The 16405-nt window shown below is 50.1% G+C and overlaps 1 protein-coding gene across 1 annotated transcript in view, besides 1 other annotated feature; it reads right to left on the bottom strand.

The window, feature by feature from the left end:
• PRDM11 (PR/SET domain 11) overlaps nt 1–6974 on the bottom strand; it is a 140951-nt gene extending 133977 nt beyond the window's left edge. The window contains exons 1-2 of the mRNA NM_001359633.2: nt 6939–6974; nt 5232–5394 (exon numbers count right to left, since the gene is read on the bottom strand). The gene's annotated coding sequence lies outside the window, so the exon portion shown is untranslated. The remainder of the gene's footprint in view (nt 1–5231; nt 5395–6938) is intronic.
• Nucleotides 13131–13867: an enhancer, noted in NCBI's record as "H3K4me1 hESC enhancer chr11:45108817-45109553 (GRCh37/hg19 assembly coordinates)". NCBI's record gives its function as "activates a minimal SCP1, AML or CMV promoter by ChIP-STARR-seq in primed H9 embryonic stem cells {active_cell/tissue: H9 hESC(primed)}" and the evidence as "EXISTENCE:reporter gene assay evidence [ECO:0000049][PMID:30033119]".

The following is a 16405-nucleotide window of genomic DNA, read 5'->3' as shown; positions in this document are numbered from 1 at the left end:
AGTAAGGTGACTAGGGTGCAAGAAGTGTGGGGAAAGGGAGAAGCTGCTTTCCCTGGCTAAAGTCCTATTAATCCCCACCCCCCCACTTCCAACACACACACACAAAGCCACAATACTTGTCCCTCTGTTGGAAGACTCTGGAGCTGGTTAAGAATACAGCATTTGGATTAGATATCCCTGGGTGCAGATTCCATCTCTGCTACTTATTGTCTGCATGACCCTGGGCAAATACTTAAACTTTGTAAGTTTCTTCTCTGAGAAGTGGGACTAACCCAGTTCCTACCTCAAGCTGGTTATTGTGCACATCCAATGAGAGAAAATATGCAAAATATATAGCACAGGCCTGGCCCATAATAAGTGTTCAATAAAAGGCGGCTTCTGTTGTGGCTTATGAGCTCAGTCCCAGTGAGAAGCCTCAGTTCCATAAAGAAAGGAACTGCCCGGTTGAGGATGGGAAGCTGTTGACTGGCTGATGGGTATGCAAATAACCTCTCTGATGTCAACATACCACGGACCTATGGAGGAGAGGGCTGCTGCTCAGGGTGATCTCACCAGCCAATCAGCAGCAGCAGATGATGATGAGCACCAGTGGGTGGGTATGGCTTGAGAAGGGGAGGGAGGAAAGAAGCAGCAGACAGACAGAAGGACTGGGAGTTCAGGGCTGCCAATCAGGACATCTGGGCTCCCAGCTTGACTCTGAAAATGAAGAGCCATTTGTGTAGGCTGTGAAAGGCTGAGCATGAGTTTCTTCACCTATGACATGGGGTGGCCCCTCTGCCTATTTTTTTCTCCTGGGGTGAGTGTGAGGATCACCCCATCACTCTGATGGATAGGACAAGGTTCTGAAAGGTACAAAGAGGTCTCAGTCACTCGGATTTTAAGGACAATTAGCGAATCAGTATGGCTGAGGGATTGCTCTTAATTACTCAAACTTTCAAATTTCATTTTAGCCCTTGGATGGAAATATTTTTAGAAATGTGATAGAGTTCCCGACTTTATTACATAGTGTAATTGATGTAGGATGTGTTGATGCATTCAGAATCTGCCAAATGATGCCATTTTATGATGCTTAAAAAAAATAAAAAATCTTTGGTTTCCCGACATTAGCTAGCATCCCTCCCTGCTGTCACTGCACCTGCCTCTCAATTCTTCTCCCATCCCATAAAACTTTCTACTTCTAATCTGCTGTGAATTTGAGAGTCAGACCTACAGCTCTGTCAGAACAGCGGGTGAAGTAAGAGTAACTGGGTCCTGAGACAGGCTGAAGAGCTCACAAGTAAAGTGCATGAGCTTCAGAATTGGCAGTCTAAGCTAGAAAGAATGCATAAGACCTACTATTTGATAGCACAACAGGGTGACTACAGTAAGTAATAACTTAATTGTACAGTTTAAAATAATGAAAACACTGTAATTGGATTGTTTATAACACAAAGAATAAATGCTTGAGGGGATGGATACCCCACTCTCCATGATGTGATTATGGCGCATTGCATGCCTGTATCAGAACATCTCATGTGCCCCATACATATACGCACCTGCTATGTAGCCACAGAAATTAAAAATAAAAAAAGTAAAAAAAAAAGGCAGTGTAAGGCAGGTGCTTCCTCACTCCTGGTCTTGGCTGTGGACCCAGGAGATGTGGGGCCAGAGCCTGTGATTTTTTTTTTTTTTTTTTTTTTTTTAAGATGGAGTCTCACTCTGTTACCCAGGCTGGAGTGCAGTGGCACGATCTTGGCTCACTGCAACCTCCGCCTCCCGAGTTCAAGCAATTCTCCTGCCTCAGCCTCTGGAGTAGCCGGAACTACAGGCACACATCACCACACCTAATTTTTTTGTATCTTTAGTAGAGACAGCGTTTCACTGTGTTGTCCAGGCTGCTCTCGAATTCCTGAGCTCAGGCAATCTGCCCACCTCAGCCTCCCAAAGTGCTAGGATTACAGGCGTGAGCCACCACACCCGGCCCAGAGCCTGTGATCTTAATCTCAAGGCCATCAGGCATCGCGTGCCATTCCTGCTGCTCCACTGCCCCTGCCCCAGTCTAGCCTTCCCTCCCTCCCTCAGCTGGCTTCCTGCAGTAGCCCTCTGGCTAGACATCCCTCCTGCCAATGATCCCTCTCCAGTCCACTTCAATACACTATCAGCCATTTTCCAGAATCTGATTACCTTCTTTTGTTGCTTGAAACACTCCATTGACTCTTTAGAGCTGCAGAATCCAGCTCAAACTCCCTTGCTTAGTACAACACTCCTCAGGAGCCCACCCTTGGGGGTCTTCTAGCCTCACCTTCGCCCGCCTTCCTGTTCCCACATCCTCTGTGTGGCCCTTTCCCATACCCACTATGGAGCACTACCTTTCTCAGGCTTCACAGTGCTATTCTTTCTGACCTCCCCCAACTTCCTCACCTGGGAAAATACAACCCAGGTGTCACTCCTTCCAGGAATTCTCCATTGCCCCTTTCTAGACTTAATTGAATTGTTCCCCACCACCACCCCATAGTCATGGTAGTGGTTAAAATCATGGATCCTGGGACCTGACCACATGGATGCAAATCCCAGCTCTGCCTCCTCATAGCTGTGCGAGCCTGGGCAAGTCACCTGGCCTGGTTTCCCACCTGTAAAGTGGAACTAGCATTAGTAGCAACCTCACTGACCTCATCTCATGCCAACCTCTATCTCGTAATGATTGGTTTCCAGTCTCCCCGACTAAGTCCAAGCTTTTCAAGAGCAAGCACAGTCTCCATTCATCTGTGCTCTTCCTTCCCTGGTGTCTGGTGCAGAGTCAGGTACACATCCCCTGCTCAATGATGGCCAAATGCAGGAATGGATGTCAAGGCCAACATTGGCCAGAGGGTCCTTCCTTAGCACACAGGAACACCCAGCACTGTGTGAGTTTTCCTTGCATGTCAGTCTTCTTCCTGGCCCCAGATGATAAGTCCCTGGGGATGAGGGGAACGAGGCCATCCCCTCCATCAGCTGTGGTGCTAGTCACTGGGCCTGATACTCTGAGGCCTGGGTGGGTTCCCTGAAGGTGCCGCTAGGGCACTGTCCATGGTGCTGAAGAGCTCTGTCACGTGACTAATTCCTCCTTCTGAGATGGTAGTTGGGGAGTGAAGGGATTTGCTTCAGGGCAGCCACGAATGGATTTTTCATCTCCAATCCCAGCCAGCACATTTTGTTCTGACATTTCTTTGGCACCTTTGCCAATGACGTGACGGTGCCTGTGCAGCTCTTTCCCCTGCCTTCCAAATTCCTTGGAGAACTGTCATATTCCCCACTCCCCACTTCCTCCTGCCACTGCAGGCACCTCCAAACATGAGTGTATCACCCAGAGATGTGGACTGAAGAGAGTGGAACACAGCCTGTGGCCCCAGTTGCCAACAAGGCGGCTCCATGCTTTCCGTAGCCTGCTTGTCTCACCTACAGGTGGTCCTAAGCCCTGGATGTGTCCCAATAGCTCCGTCCTCAAGGACAAGCTAAACAGGAAAAGCCTGGCCAGAAAAAATGGTAGTGAAAATAAATTCTGATTCTATGTGTGCAGTAGAGTTCAATGGTCTGAGCATCTGAGCGACACTTGAGTTTGAATCCCATTACCCCTGTGTGATCTTGAGTGATTTGTTCCACCCCTGAGCTTCAATTTCCTCACCTGTTAAATGGGAGGGATGAAAGCTTTCCCACAGGATTGTGGTGAGGACAAAATTAGACAATGTAGGTAAATGTGCTGGCAATTCTGCCGGCATGTAACAAATGCTCACGTTTGGTAGCTACTATTCCTCAGACTTTACTTGATAGAGAAGCCTGTGAATTTCAGACTGGAAGGGAACCTAGTCCAGTGCCTTCAGTTTACATACAAGGAAATTGAGGCTCAGCCAGGTGAAGGACTTGTTTAAGGTCACATGGCCAGTAAGGGAGAGGACTCAGGAGAGCAGGGGAATCTTCAAACTTGTGAGCTATTGATGCATTAAGTCACCAGGATGCTGAAGTTGGAGGTATGGGGGGCTGCATACAGGATGAAGGTAAAGGTGCTTTCTATTTAGCTGCAGGAAATATCCTTGATTTGAACCTTAAAACCAAATTCCCTGGCCTCATCTTCATCCCATTTACCTCTCAGCCACATTTCCAGGTTGGTAGCCTCATTATCCCCGTTTGCCAGATGAGAAAAAGGAGGCTCAGAGGAGCAAGGAGACTGGTGCATGGCCACGCAGCTGCCTCCCTGCCAGGATTGGCATGAAGATCATGTGAGATGAGCAGGCAGGAGTTCCTGAAACAGGCCTGGCAGAGAATGTACTTGGAAATGACAACGTTCCCTTCTCCCTCCTGAAGGAGTCAGTCCTCACATTTCAGAGTAGAAAAAGGCATTTCTGTTCACGCTACCCAGTGCCTCTGTGATTCCACAGGCTTCTAGCACAATCTCCTCAGGAAATAATCAGAAAGACACTAAAAATCAAAGCCAGTGAAGAGGCTGCTTGGGAGGTGGTGCAGAGTTGCTTAGCAAGCAGGTGAGAGAATAAGCTGAATGGGAGGCTTTAGGAACATCTGAGGATGTCTTTTATCTTCGGAGAGCCTGGCCAGAATAATGAAAACCCATTGGGCTTGATTCAAGGCACCTGAGCTTACATCCCAGGACCCTGCCTGCACCCCCACAACCCTCCTGCTTAGATCTCTGGGATCTGAGATTATGTCACCTATAATCTCACAACTTCAGTTTCTAGATGTGAAAAAATGAGAGTAACAATTTGTACCTAAAAATGTTAAGACGTGTGAATGAAATGGTTTACCTAAAGCATCCAGCACGGTGCCTGCACACAATAGGTGCTCAATAAATGTCAATTCACTTCTAGTCCTTTCATTTCCACCTATATTTATTCACCAAGGATTTATTGAGCATTTACTATGTGCCAGGTGCTGTTCCGAGTCCTAGTGATCTGGCAGTGAACATGGCAGGTGCCTGCTCTCATGGAGCTTTCATTTTACTGGCAGAAGTCAGAAAGAGAAAGAAGCCCGTAACAAACAAGAAAATGGAGCTATCAGCGTGTGCTATAAAGAGTTTTCCACTTGACAGTGAGAAGGAGTGGAGGGTGGTAATGTTAGACAGAAAGGACAATGCGGGCTTTAATGAGAAGATGACAACAAGCAGGGGCCTGAATAAAGATCTGGAGGAAGAGTATTCCAGGGAGAGGTAGTAGCAAGTGCAAGCGTTTTGAGGAGCCCCCACATTAGCAGCTTAAACAACTTACTTTCTCTCTCTGGTAAAGGAAGAGAGGTGAGCATCTCAGGCAGGCCCGGCACTCCACGATCATCAGGGATGCAATTGGCTCTGCCATCTTCAACATTGAACCCTACCTTGTGACCCGAAATGGGTGCCCCAGCTGTAGCCATCGTATCTGCGGCCATCATAATCTGCATTCCAGAGCAGAAAGCAGAAGGGTTAAAAAGAGAATGCCTTTCCCCAAGAGGACATGTCCCAGGGGTTGCAGTTCTATTGCATTGGTCAGAACTTTGTCACATAGTGACATGTAATTGCAGAGGAGTCTGGGAAATGTGGCCTCTACTCTCAGCTGCCATGTGCCTGACACCAAATTAGGGGTGCGTTCATCAGGAAGAGGGGAGAATAGATGATGAGAGACGGCTGGCCATCTGTGCCACAGTGACAAAGGCGAGACTGAAACCCCACGTCCTGACTCCCCAGCACTGTCTCTACTGCCCTTTCCCATCTCCTGTCCCCAACATGATGAGCAGATAGCAGCGGGGAGCAAGGCCAAATGTCAGGGGATGCCTGGGGAGATCAGGCTGAGGGAGCTGAGGGCTGGAGGAAATAAAAGGAGGAGGTGGGTGTGGAGGGGTTCCAAGGGGGAGCTGTTACAGAGGGAGGCCCAGCTGTAGATTCCTGTCCCCACGGCTTAGAAGGGCTGGCAGCTGGCTTTGAGGCCCATGGCAGGGAGACATCGCTGTCACCTTCTTTTGGGGGAGGCAGCCAGTGACACAGCTTCAGACAGCTCCCTATTGTTCCCAGCAGACAGGGTGGCAGGTTGGCGGGATCCCACTGTGGTGGCAGGTTGGGGAAGGGCGTTGTTAAGCAGTTGGCAAGGCCAGCCGGCCCAGTTCCCTGCCCCCATGCCTGTGCTGGTGGCTGGACAAGGGCAGTGGTGGCTCCAGACTCTGTTTATCTCCTTCTGCCAGGTACTGAGCTGCCAGTGTCTCCTCATCTCCCTCCCTTCCTTCCCTCCCTTCCTTCTTTCCCTTCCTTCCTTCCCTCCTCTCTTCCTTCCCTTCCTTCCCTCCTTCCTCCCTTCCTTCCCTCCTTCCTCCCTTCCTTCTCTCCTTCCTCCCTTCCTTCTCTCCCTCCTCCCTCCCTTCCTTCCCTCTATTCCTTCCCTCCCTTTCTTCATTCCTTCCCTCCTTCCCTCCCTCCTTCCGTCTTTTCCTCCCTCCCTCCCTTCCTTCCTTCCTTCCATCCTTCCATCCCTCCTTCCTTCCTTCTTTCCTCCCTCCCATTTTCTGCTCCCTCTACTTCCTCCCTTCAGTCCTCCCCTCCCCTCCCCTCCCCTCCCTTTCCTTCTCCTTTCCCCTCCTCTCCTCTTTCCTCCCGTCATATCCCTCTCTCCCTCTTTTCTTCCTGCATGTTCTTCCTTCCTGCCTTTTCTCCTCTTCCCCACCATGACTCACTTCCTTCTCCTGCTCTCTCAGCCTCCCCCACCCCCTCCCAGCCCATGCCCCACTCTGGGGTCCCTCCATGCAGCTGGGGCAGCACTGGGCAGAGGACATTCAGGGGCAGCCTGGGTGGCAGGTCGCATCTGTCCCGGGCCCTTCCCAGAAGCCTCCTGTTTCCTGTCCAGCATCAGGTGTTAGGAGAGGTCATGGCACCCCATCGTCTCACCTCCTGCTACCTGCCACCCACTACCCTGTGATTCCAGCCCACCCCCAGAGGAGGACAAGGGACTCACATTCATTGAGCTGCAACTGCATGCTAGCTACTTGCATGGCACTTCAATTTACTTAAGCCTCCCACAGTCCATTGAGGTGGCTTACTCTTATTCCCATTTTATAGATGAAGAAACCGAGGTTCAGAGAGGCAGAGCAGTGTGAAGCCACACGGTATGCTGCCGGGAGAGATGGTCCTCAAGACAGCTGGAACAAGGTGGATCAGAGGCTCCTGCTGTCGGGGCCTCCCAGTGCCAGCCCTGACTCCAGCTCTGAGCCTGATGCTACTTTCTGGCCCTTGATCCCATGCTTGTTTGGTCACTCAGCCCTCATCTTCAGATAAATCCAGGAGTAAGGAGAGAAAGAGAGACTGGGACCGCAGGAGGTACTCAATGATCTTTGCAGTAGGCCCAGATCTTTGCAGCCAACTTCTTGGTTCCTCAGTGCTGCTCAGCCTGAAACTCTCTAAATAGCCTCTCTCCCCCCACAGCCACCCCAGCATACACAGATACACACCCCACACATGGAACAGCTAGAGCACATGTGGCCTCCCACACCGCCGCTTCTGTGGGTGTGAGGGCGTAGCTGTCGTGGTGATGGTGGCAGCAATGGAGGTGGTGGGGTTGTTGTAGTGGCAGTGGTGGGGTAGTGGTGGTGATGACAAACAGCATATCATTTAGCCACACATAAATCTACAAGATACATAGTATACATGCAAACTATAAAGAAAAGCTGCACAATGATTAACACTGAGTAATGACAAATTGTGCTCACAGATAGATAACGTTTCCAAGAAACCACAAACCACACTCATAGACACAGACCAGGCTAACTGTGAGACCCCACCAGTGAGTAAGCACCGGTGAAACACCCCTTCCTCTCCACTGCCTTTCTGAGTGACAGTGGCTTGCTCACCAGACAACGCCGGTGCGGTTTTAACCCTCCTGCCTCCAAGATCAAAATTATTAAGTGCCCATGCACTCAGTCCAGAACTGGACTTGCTTTCCTGGTTTTCCTTGGAATCATCCAGCCAAGCCTAGATCTTCTCAGGGGCTTTCCAGATCCCTTTCCCTGAGACACCACCGAGGTTTCCCTGCGCTGTGCACTCCCTTGCAGCGACAAGCTTACGAAACCTCCCATTTTCTTACTGCAATCATGTTCTTGGGTCTCTGGGCCATGGGCTTCCACAGCACAACACGGAACCCAGTGGTTAACCTGGGCAGGGGGATATGGGGCAGCCACAGGGTCAGGGCAAGCGTGGGCTTGGAAAGCATTGGGAAGGTTTCTTAGGCTGGGTTTCTTAGTCTGGGCTTATACAAGCCTTCATTTATTATTATTTTACGATTTAACATAGTCTTTTAAATGTGCGTACGTTATATAGATTATTTTATATGTATGTTTCACAGTAAAAAGTAAAAATAGGCTGGGCACAGTGGCTCATGCCTATAATCCCAGCACTTTGGGAGGCCAAGGTGAGATGTTCACTTGAGCCCAGGAATTCAAAACCAGCCTGGGCAACATAACGAGACTCCATCTCTACCAAAAAAAAAAAAATTAGGCAGGCATGGTGGCACATGCTTATAGTCCCAGCTACCGAGGAAGCTGAGGTGGGAGGATCACTTGAGCTTGGGAGGTGGAGGCTGTGGTGAGACATGATTGCACCGCTATGCTCCAGTCTGGATGACAGAACGAGACCCTGTCTCTAAAAAAAGAAAAAAAGAAGTAAAAATTAAAAAGTTAATAAAAAAGAAAAAAACAACAACAGACGCCATATTCTTGCCAGATGCCCAGGGAATGACTCTGGCCTTTTTCCTGGGCCCCATTGGCCTGGGACCAGCAGAGCAGCCCTGGGGTCCTGGAGGAGTCAGGGCTGGTTCTCAGGACTGGGGCGAGGCCCTCTGAGGGGAGGAGGTCTGACCAGCAACTTGCCTTCCCCTCCATTCAGGGCCTTCCCCACATGCCCGGAATTCCTGACCTGGCCCTGGTGCTGCCTCCCTTAGGGACAAGAGGTGGGGGCCTTTGAGTGTTTGTTTAGAGGCATAGTTTCCTTAAATGGCTGGGTTTTTAAAAAATGTATGTGCCTGCAGCTAACTTCCTCTCCCTGACAGCCAGGGCATCGGATGCAGGAGGGCAGGCAAGAGACGGGAGGGGGCTGGGAGGAGTCCAGGGACGGGGGACAGAGGAGCCAGAAAGCTAGGCAAGGAGGCAGCTTCTAAAAAGCCTTGGGACCCCCCTTCCACTTCAGGAAGAAGGCACAAGGCCCAGACAGGGAACATGAGAAGCACGCAGCAGGCGGGCATTCCCACAGCAAATCAGGGACAACCGTGGGAATGCCAACCTGCTTATTTGTTTTTATTTCTATTAAGTCTTTTCCTGCCTCTGAGCCTTGGCACCTGCTGTTCCTTCTGCCTAGGCCCCCCTTTCTTTGGTTCTTCTAGTGACAAGCACCTTGTCGCTCTCCAGGTGTGAATGCTACTTCCTGACCATGCTTCCCCTATCCACACCAGCCCCTCCCACACCCCCGATTGTTATTTACATCATCCCGCTGAATGAATGAAGTCTGCAAGCTATGGAATAGGTAGTTGTAGGTTTCCTTTGGAGAGGAATCTGCTATATCTTAAAACAGTGATTTCTTCTGTTTTTTCAGTTTACTTTTGTAGCCACATCAGAAAATCAAACGGTAATTTTAAAACTGTGTTTCCCTAAGCTATTTGATGTAGTTATTTATTTAACATGTGAACTATACCTCCTCCAATAGGCTCATTATAGCTATTGTGAACACTTGAGAACTGTTTCTGAGACATAGCCATGCTAGAAAATGTATTATTTAACCAAAAGAACAAACTTTGGCATTCTGGTTATTTTTTTTCAATGAAGCATAGTATTATTTTAACAGACATGGGCTTTGATTTCTGAACTTTTAACCTTATGGGTTATAAATATGAAATGGAGTCATATTTTAATGAAAAAGGAAATAGGACAATTTCAACTTGGTCAATGAGAAACGTTACATTTCAGGCTAAGAGGTTAATTCTGTTTTCATTTTCTTGGTTTTTCATCGCCAAGAAAAGCAGTACAAGGTTTCCTGCTTTTAAATTTCCCAGGTGATTTATAGATGTAGCACAGTGTTATTTATGGGAAAACACCAGAAGAAAATAATCTTTCTGCTTAACAGAAGAAATTTTGATACACATTTTCCAATTAATAGTCTTCCTGCATTCATGTTTGACACCTTGCAAGGGATTCCTCCTGTTTTAGGACAGAGCCTGAACTCCTTTGGAGCCCACGAGGGCCTGAAAGATCTGGCTCCTGTCTTCCTCTTCTGCTTCATCTACTGTCCCCAGTGCTCCGTGCCCCTGATTGAACTTTGCTCCTTGCCCTTTACACACACTGTTCCCTCTGCCAGCCTCATTCACACTCCCTACCCTGTACTCATCAGTCCTGCCTTTCACAGTTTAGATGTCGCTTCTTCCAGGAAGCCTTCCCAGATGCTCTGGAATGAGTGATGCTCCAGGCAGCTTCCCACATGTTCTCTGTCATATTTTTTATCCCATTATATTATCTTGGTAATTCCTCAGTTTTTTTGTCTGACTCCTTCACTAGACTATAAGCTGTATGGGGACAGGGACCACGTTTAGATTCCTGGGGTCTACCATAATGTTTTACACATGGCAGGTGCTCCATTAATGCCAGGTGAATAAATGAACACATAGCCAGAATTTGACTGAGGTTCACCAAATTCTGGTAGCCCATCACCTATGGTCCATCATTCATAGTTCTTGGATGATTTCCTCTTAGTCATTAATTTGGTCATTCACTCCATCCATTCAACCAATTCTCCATCCATCCATCCATCCATCCATCCATCCATCCATCCATCCTTCCATCCATCCATCTATCCATCCATCTGTCCATCCATTCAGCCATCCATCTGTCCATCTATTCATCCATCTGTCCATCCATCCATCCATCCATCCATATATTTCTGTGACTAGCAGAAACAGTGAGGTTGAAGTCGCAGTGGGTTTTAGCGAAAGAAGAAAATCAGGATTTCTGATGTTAATGTCAGGTTTGGTGTAAGGTATAGATCAGGCTCAGAAAACCAGAACCACATTGTGGGCACACCCAAGCAGGGAGTGGCAGAGCTGATGGAGGAATGGCTTATGCATCAGAAGCTAAAGCAATTCAAGCCTCCCTCGCCCCCTGGCTGACACACATGGCCAGCACAGACACGTCTACTCTCCCCTCCCCTCCCTCCCTTCCTTCCTTCTTCTATTAAGTCTTCATGGAGACCTCTCTCTGGGGCAGGCCTGTCCTGAAGACTGTAGAATCAGACCCAGATTTCTGCCCTAAAGCTGCTCTGAGTGTATACAGGGATTCTAGCATAGGCGTGGAGAACAATACAGGAGGCCCACTGTGGCCCCTGCCATAAGAGAGGCCCAGGTCATGTGCTCTGAGCACCTGGAGGGAAGAGAGGAAGGTAGGGCTGCATGTAGGAGGGGGCACTGGAACTGGATCTTGACGAGTGGGTAGGACTTGGGCATGTGAAAATGAGAGGAGAGTGTTCTAGGACACAATCAAATGAGCCAGGCAGAGAAATGGAATGAATCCAGGCAATTTCAGGGAATCCAGCCTGCTGGAGGGCAGGGAGTAGGACGTGAAAGAGGGCTGGGGAGAAAGCCAGGGAGGAACTGGGCCAGGTCACAGCCCTGGCCTTGGAGGCCAGCTGGGGAATGATGGATTGAGTAACTCACTCATCTAACAAATATTTTTAGCATTAATATGTTCCAGGCCACAGGCTGTGGGCTGGGTACAAAAAGGATGGAAATCTGCCCTCAGATGGCTCAAAGTCTGTGAGCCATTCCTATGTACTGAAGTGGTTCCAGCTGAGGAGGGGCCTAGTCACTCTGGCTGGGTTCCCCGACCTCACCTTACCTCATCTCCCATATCCTGCATTCCCTCCATCTCACAGCCACTGCCATTTTAGGGCCCATTGGCTCTTCCCCAGTGCTTTGCAGTAGCATCCGGCCTGCTCTCCTTGCTTTAGCCTCATCCATCTTCCCCTCCCTGCAGGCAGTGGAATCTCCATAAAGGAACATATTATGGCCGGGTGTGATGGCTCACACCCGTAATCCCAGCACTTTGAGAAGCCAAGGTGGGTGGATCACATGAGCCCAGGAGTTCGAGACCAACCTGGGCAACATGGTGAAACTGGCTCTACAAAAAAATACAAAAATTAGCCGGGCATGGTGGTGTGCACCTGTAGTCCCAGCTACTCCAGAGGCTGAGTTGGGAGGATCGCCTGAGCCCAGGGAGGTTGAGGCTACAGTGAGGTGACGGTCACATGACTGCACTCCAGCCTGCAACACAGAGTGAGACCTTGTCTCAAACAAACAAACAAGAAAAAGGAGCACATCATGTTGCCCTCCCCTGCATAAAACCCTTCCTGGCTCCCCAGTGCTCTGAGAATAACTTCCAAGACCTTGTCCTGGACAAAGCGCAGCCCTCACATTCTTCTCCCCCAACTCCTCCGTGGCCTCATGGGAGTTCTCTCATTTTCCTGAGGGCTCCCTGTGTTTTCCTCTGATCAGGCTCATCTCCAGCCCTCACTGCCTACTCTGCGCAGGCTCCCCTTGCAGGCTCTGCAGGCTGGGGGCAGATATCAATTCCTTGAGCCCCCTTTCTGGACTCCCCAGGCTGTGCTTAGTGTGGCGAGGTGTGTTTTTTCTGCCTGTTTCTTTGCTTGGTTTTCCCCACAGCCTGTGAGCTCCTTGGGTGGGGGATGGCATTTGCTAAGCATACCATTGCCTCACCATTCTGTCTACAACCCTCGAGTATCCCGTATAGAGCAGGCCTTGGATTCCTGGGGACCTGAGGATGGATGAAAGCCAGGCTTAGACAGGGTGGGGTGGATGCCTCTCCCAGCACCCCTGGGCCACTTGGTGGGAAGGGGTCCAGAGATAGGAGGTGGGCGTCAACTTGGGAGGAAGCTCAGGACCTCTGGGATTCCAGAGAGGTCTGGCAGGCTCCAGGGTGTCCTCAGGTGAGATAAAGGGTTGGGCCAGGGTTGAGGATGAGGCAGGTCCACCCTGCCATGCTGCAGCCGGAGTCCAGCTTCCAGATATGGGTGGGAAGGAGCTTCCCCCTCGATGGCCCGACTGTGACTTTGGCCTCTGCATTCATTTCGCCCGTTCTGTCTTTTTCTCTGTGCCTCTTTCCAGCTCGACCCGCCTGGGGCTATTTTTGCTTCCTTCTTGTTCAGTTGCCTGAGCAGCATTGTGGCTTTAATTGGTCCATTTTCTGCATGCTGGAAAGATGTTCCCTCCTTGTCCCCTGCCCACCCCCACCCGAGAGTGGGCCCAAGAGTAAAAGCTAGAAGTGAGGCTAATTATGGAGGGAAGGGTGGACAGAGACAGGCTCAGGCGAAGGAAAAAGATAAATGGAGGGAAAGGAACAGATAGAGACAGAGAGGGAGACAGAGAAAGAAAGAGAAAGAGAGAGAGAGAAGGCAAAGGCCAACACACAGAAGAAGAGTGGGAGCCCGGAGAGCTGGAGACAGAAATATAAATAATTGAGGTAAGAGAGAAACACAAGAAGACAAAGAGAGACTCAGAGAAGCAACCAGATGGATTCAAATACACATTGCGTGACAAGAGAAAGACAGAGGCCCGCAGCCACCCTGAGAGGGAGGGAGGGAGGCAGCCTGCAGCTGGACAAGCAGCAGGGAGCAGTGTCTCCAGGGAGGCCATGGCTTGTGTAGAACTCCACCACCTCCAGTCAGGGGCCTCTGGCCAGTCTCTGCTTCTCTGGGCCTCCTTTGCAACATAGAGATAATAAATGAGAGGTCTGCACTATTTGCAGGGGCTCGCTGGGGAGGGCTGCAAGGTGCTTTGTAAATGGTTAGACTTCTGCAAATAGGGGAAGAAGGGAATCACTGTTCCGCAGTGTGGGGCTTCACCTGTGTACATCTTCCTGCCTCTTGAACTTTAAATGAGTTAGGTGGAGTGGGGCAATGCCTAACACATTATTTGTTGTTTATTCCTACAGCAAAGGTGTACTGACCACCTGCTCACTATGTCCAGCCTCCTTTCTGGGCTCTGAAGACAAAAGGTGACCAGGGCAGGGCTACTGCCCTGCTGCTCAAGCTGTGGCCTCTATTAGGTGCTCATTGTTTAGGAGGAGGAGCTTACACACCTAACTCCACTATCACCTGGCACTTGTTCTAGCTGAGGTATGCCTCTGCCTCCACCCAGGGACAGTCAGGGACAGCTTCCCAGAGGAGGCAACGTGGGACAAGGCCTTGAAGGCTTTTCTGAGTGGAGAAGGCTGAGAAGGAATTCCAGGTGGGGGGATTAGTGTATGCAAAGGTATGGCCACCACACAGGATGGGGCTTCATGGGCCGGGTGGCACTAAGGAAGTTGAGGGTGAGGGTGAGGGGAAATGGGAGATAAGGCCAGGAAGGTAGGCAGGGGCTGGCTTGGGAGGGGCCTTGAATGCCAAGTAAGGAGTTAGGGCAAATAGGTGGTGCTGTCCAGCAACAGAATAGCAGAATCCAATCTGAGTTTTTTAAGAGGAACCCTGATGAGACAGCACAGACTAGAGCAGGAGGTGCTGGGGGCGGAGAGAGCAGGAGGAGGCCGGGGCAAAATGCAGGTGGGAGATGCCGCGAATCTGGACTGGGGAAGGAAGACCCTGGGTGAGTGGCCTGCACTGGATCAGTTGCCTGCAGTACCTGGCCTCTCAGCCCAGCCCAGTCATCTCTCTCTTGCCTGTCCCATGATCCAGAGCCACAGAAACCCAGAGACTCGCTTTATGGCACCTTTGAGACCAGTTAGTCCAGGGATCTCAAACTCAGATGCCCTCAGGTGCCATGTGGGGTGGCTAGTGTGAGACTGTAGGAAATGGTGGGCCCTGTTTATAGATGAGAAAACTGAGGCCTGGAGAGGGGAGTGGCTTGCCTGAGACCCACGGCTGGTTGGGGGAGGCGCGTGCTTCCTCAATCAACACTCCTTTCAGGAAAATGACTCCGCCCCTTCCACCAGCACAGACTGAGGGAAGGAGAAACCTCGGAGGAGGAGGCAAATGCTGGTTGCCAGAGGGAGAGATGATTGGCATGGAAGGGGGAGGTCAGCTTAATGAGAGGGCGACTGAGGGTAGGCACATCGTGGTAAAAAGCAGCAAGGGGAGGGTGAGGCATCCCCAAGGGGAGGCGCTGGCTCCTGGACTCAGCTGACCAGGCCCCCAGCTTGCCCCCAGCTTCAGGCAGGGGACTGGAGCAAGGGCTGGGAGTCCCTCAGCCTCAAAGGCCCAAATTGCCCTGGGCTGGACCTGCTGAGCTGCTGATTATCCGAGGCAGAAATCCTGCCAAGCTGGATTTTAGAGAATAATCATCACAGTCAATAGTAATGCCTCCCACCTGCGCTGAGCTTTTAACTTGTTCAGCCACTAGCAAGCAGCTTTGTCTGATTCAGAAAGAAAGGCCAGGAGAATTTGTGGCAGGCCCCAAGAGCAGGAAAGAGCCCAGTGGAAGAATAAGACATCCTCATTTACCTCCTTGAGCCTCAATTTTCTCCGCTGTAACATGCAGATGTTGTTCTCTGCCTCTGATGATCTTTATAGCCTCATCTTCGACCCCAGATCCCCACTCTCACCTCCCTCCCTCCTGCAGTCACACACACTCACATGTGAAGTCCAGGAATGGAGAACTGTTGATGAACCCCTCTGAGGTCTCTGCTTTGGTTTTACATCAAATACCAAACTGCCCCATGTTTTTCGTGAACTCCCCTTTATCCCACAAAGACCAGTGCTACCTTCTCTGTGAAGGTCTCAGCTGTGGTCTGGATGTTTCTGTCCCTCTGAAATTCATGTGTTCAGATCAAATCCCCAACATGTTGGCATTAAGAGGTAGGGCCTTTGGAAGGTGATTAGGTGATGTGGCAGGTGGGGGTGGTGGTGAGGGGCGTGGGGGGTGCGATTTGCCCTCATGAATGGGATTGGTGCCCTCATAAAGAGGTTGGAGGGAGCCATTTTGCCCTTCCACCATGTAGAACACATATTATAGAAGATGGAACTGTGAGGAACGTATCTATGAGGAACAGACCCTCAGCAGACACTGAATCTGCTGGCCCCCTGATCTCGGACTTCCTAGTTTCCGGAACTATGAGCAATAAATTTCTGTAGTTTGTAAATTACCAAGTGTATGGTATTTTGTTATAACAGCCTGAACATACTAAGACACCCTTTCTGATTCTCTCCCCAAAGTTAATCACTCCCTTTTCTGGGCTGCCGCTGTAGTGTGTACATTACAGCACATATTCTACTTATATCTTTGCCTCTTTCCACTTCAGTCTGAAAGTTGCTCGAGGCTAGGGAGACTAGACCTTTATGTACTTCTGTATTCCCAAAGCTCAGCATGGATCTAGCACACAGTAGGTGCTCAAGAAATAGTTTTTGGCTGGGCACGGTGGCTCACATCTATAATCTCAGCAC

The sequence above is a fragment of the Homo sapiens genome, chromosome 11, assembly GCF_000001405.40.
Source record: "Homo sapiens chromosome 11, GRCh38.p14 Primary Assembly".
Taxonomy (NCBI): Eukaryota; Metazoa; Chordata; class Mammalia; order Primates; family Hominidae; genus Homo; species Homo sapiens.
Note: the sequence above shows the minus strand (reverse complement) of the source record. Positions and strands in the feature narration are given on the sequence as shown.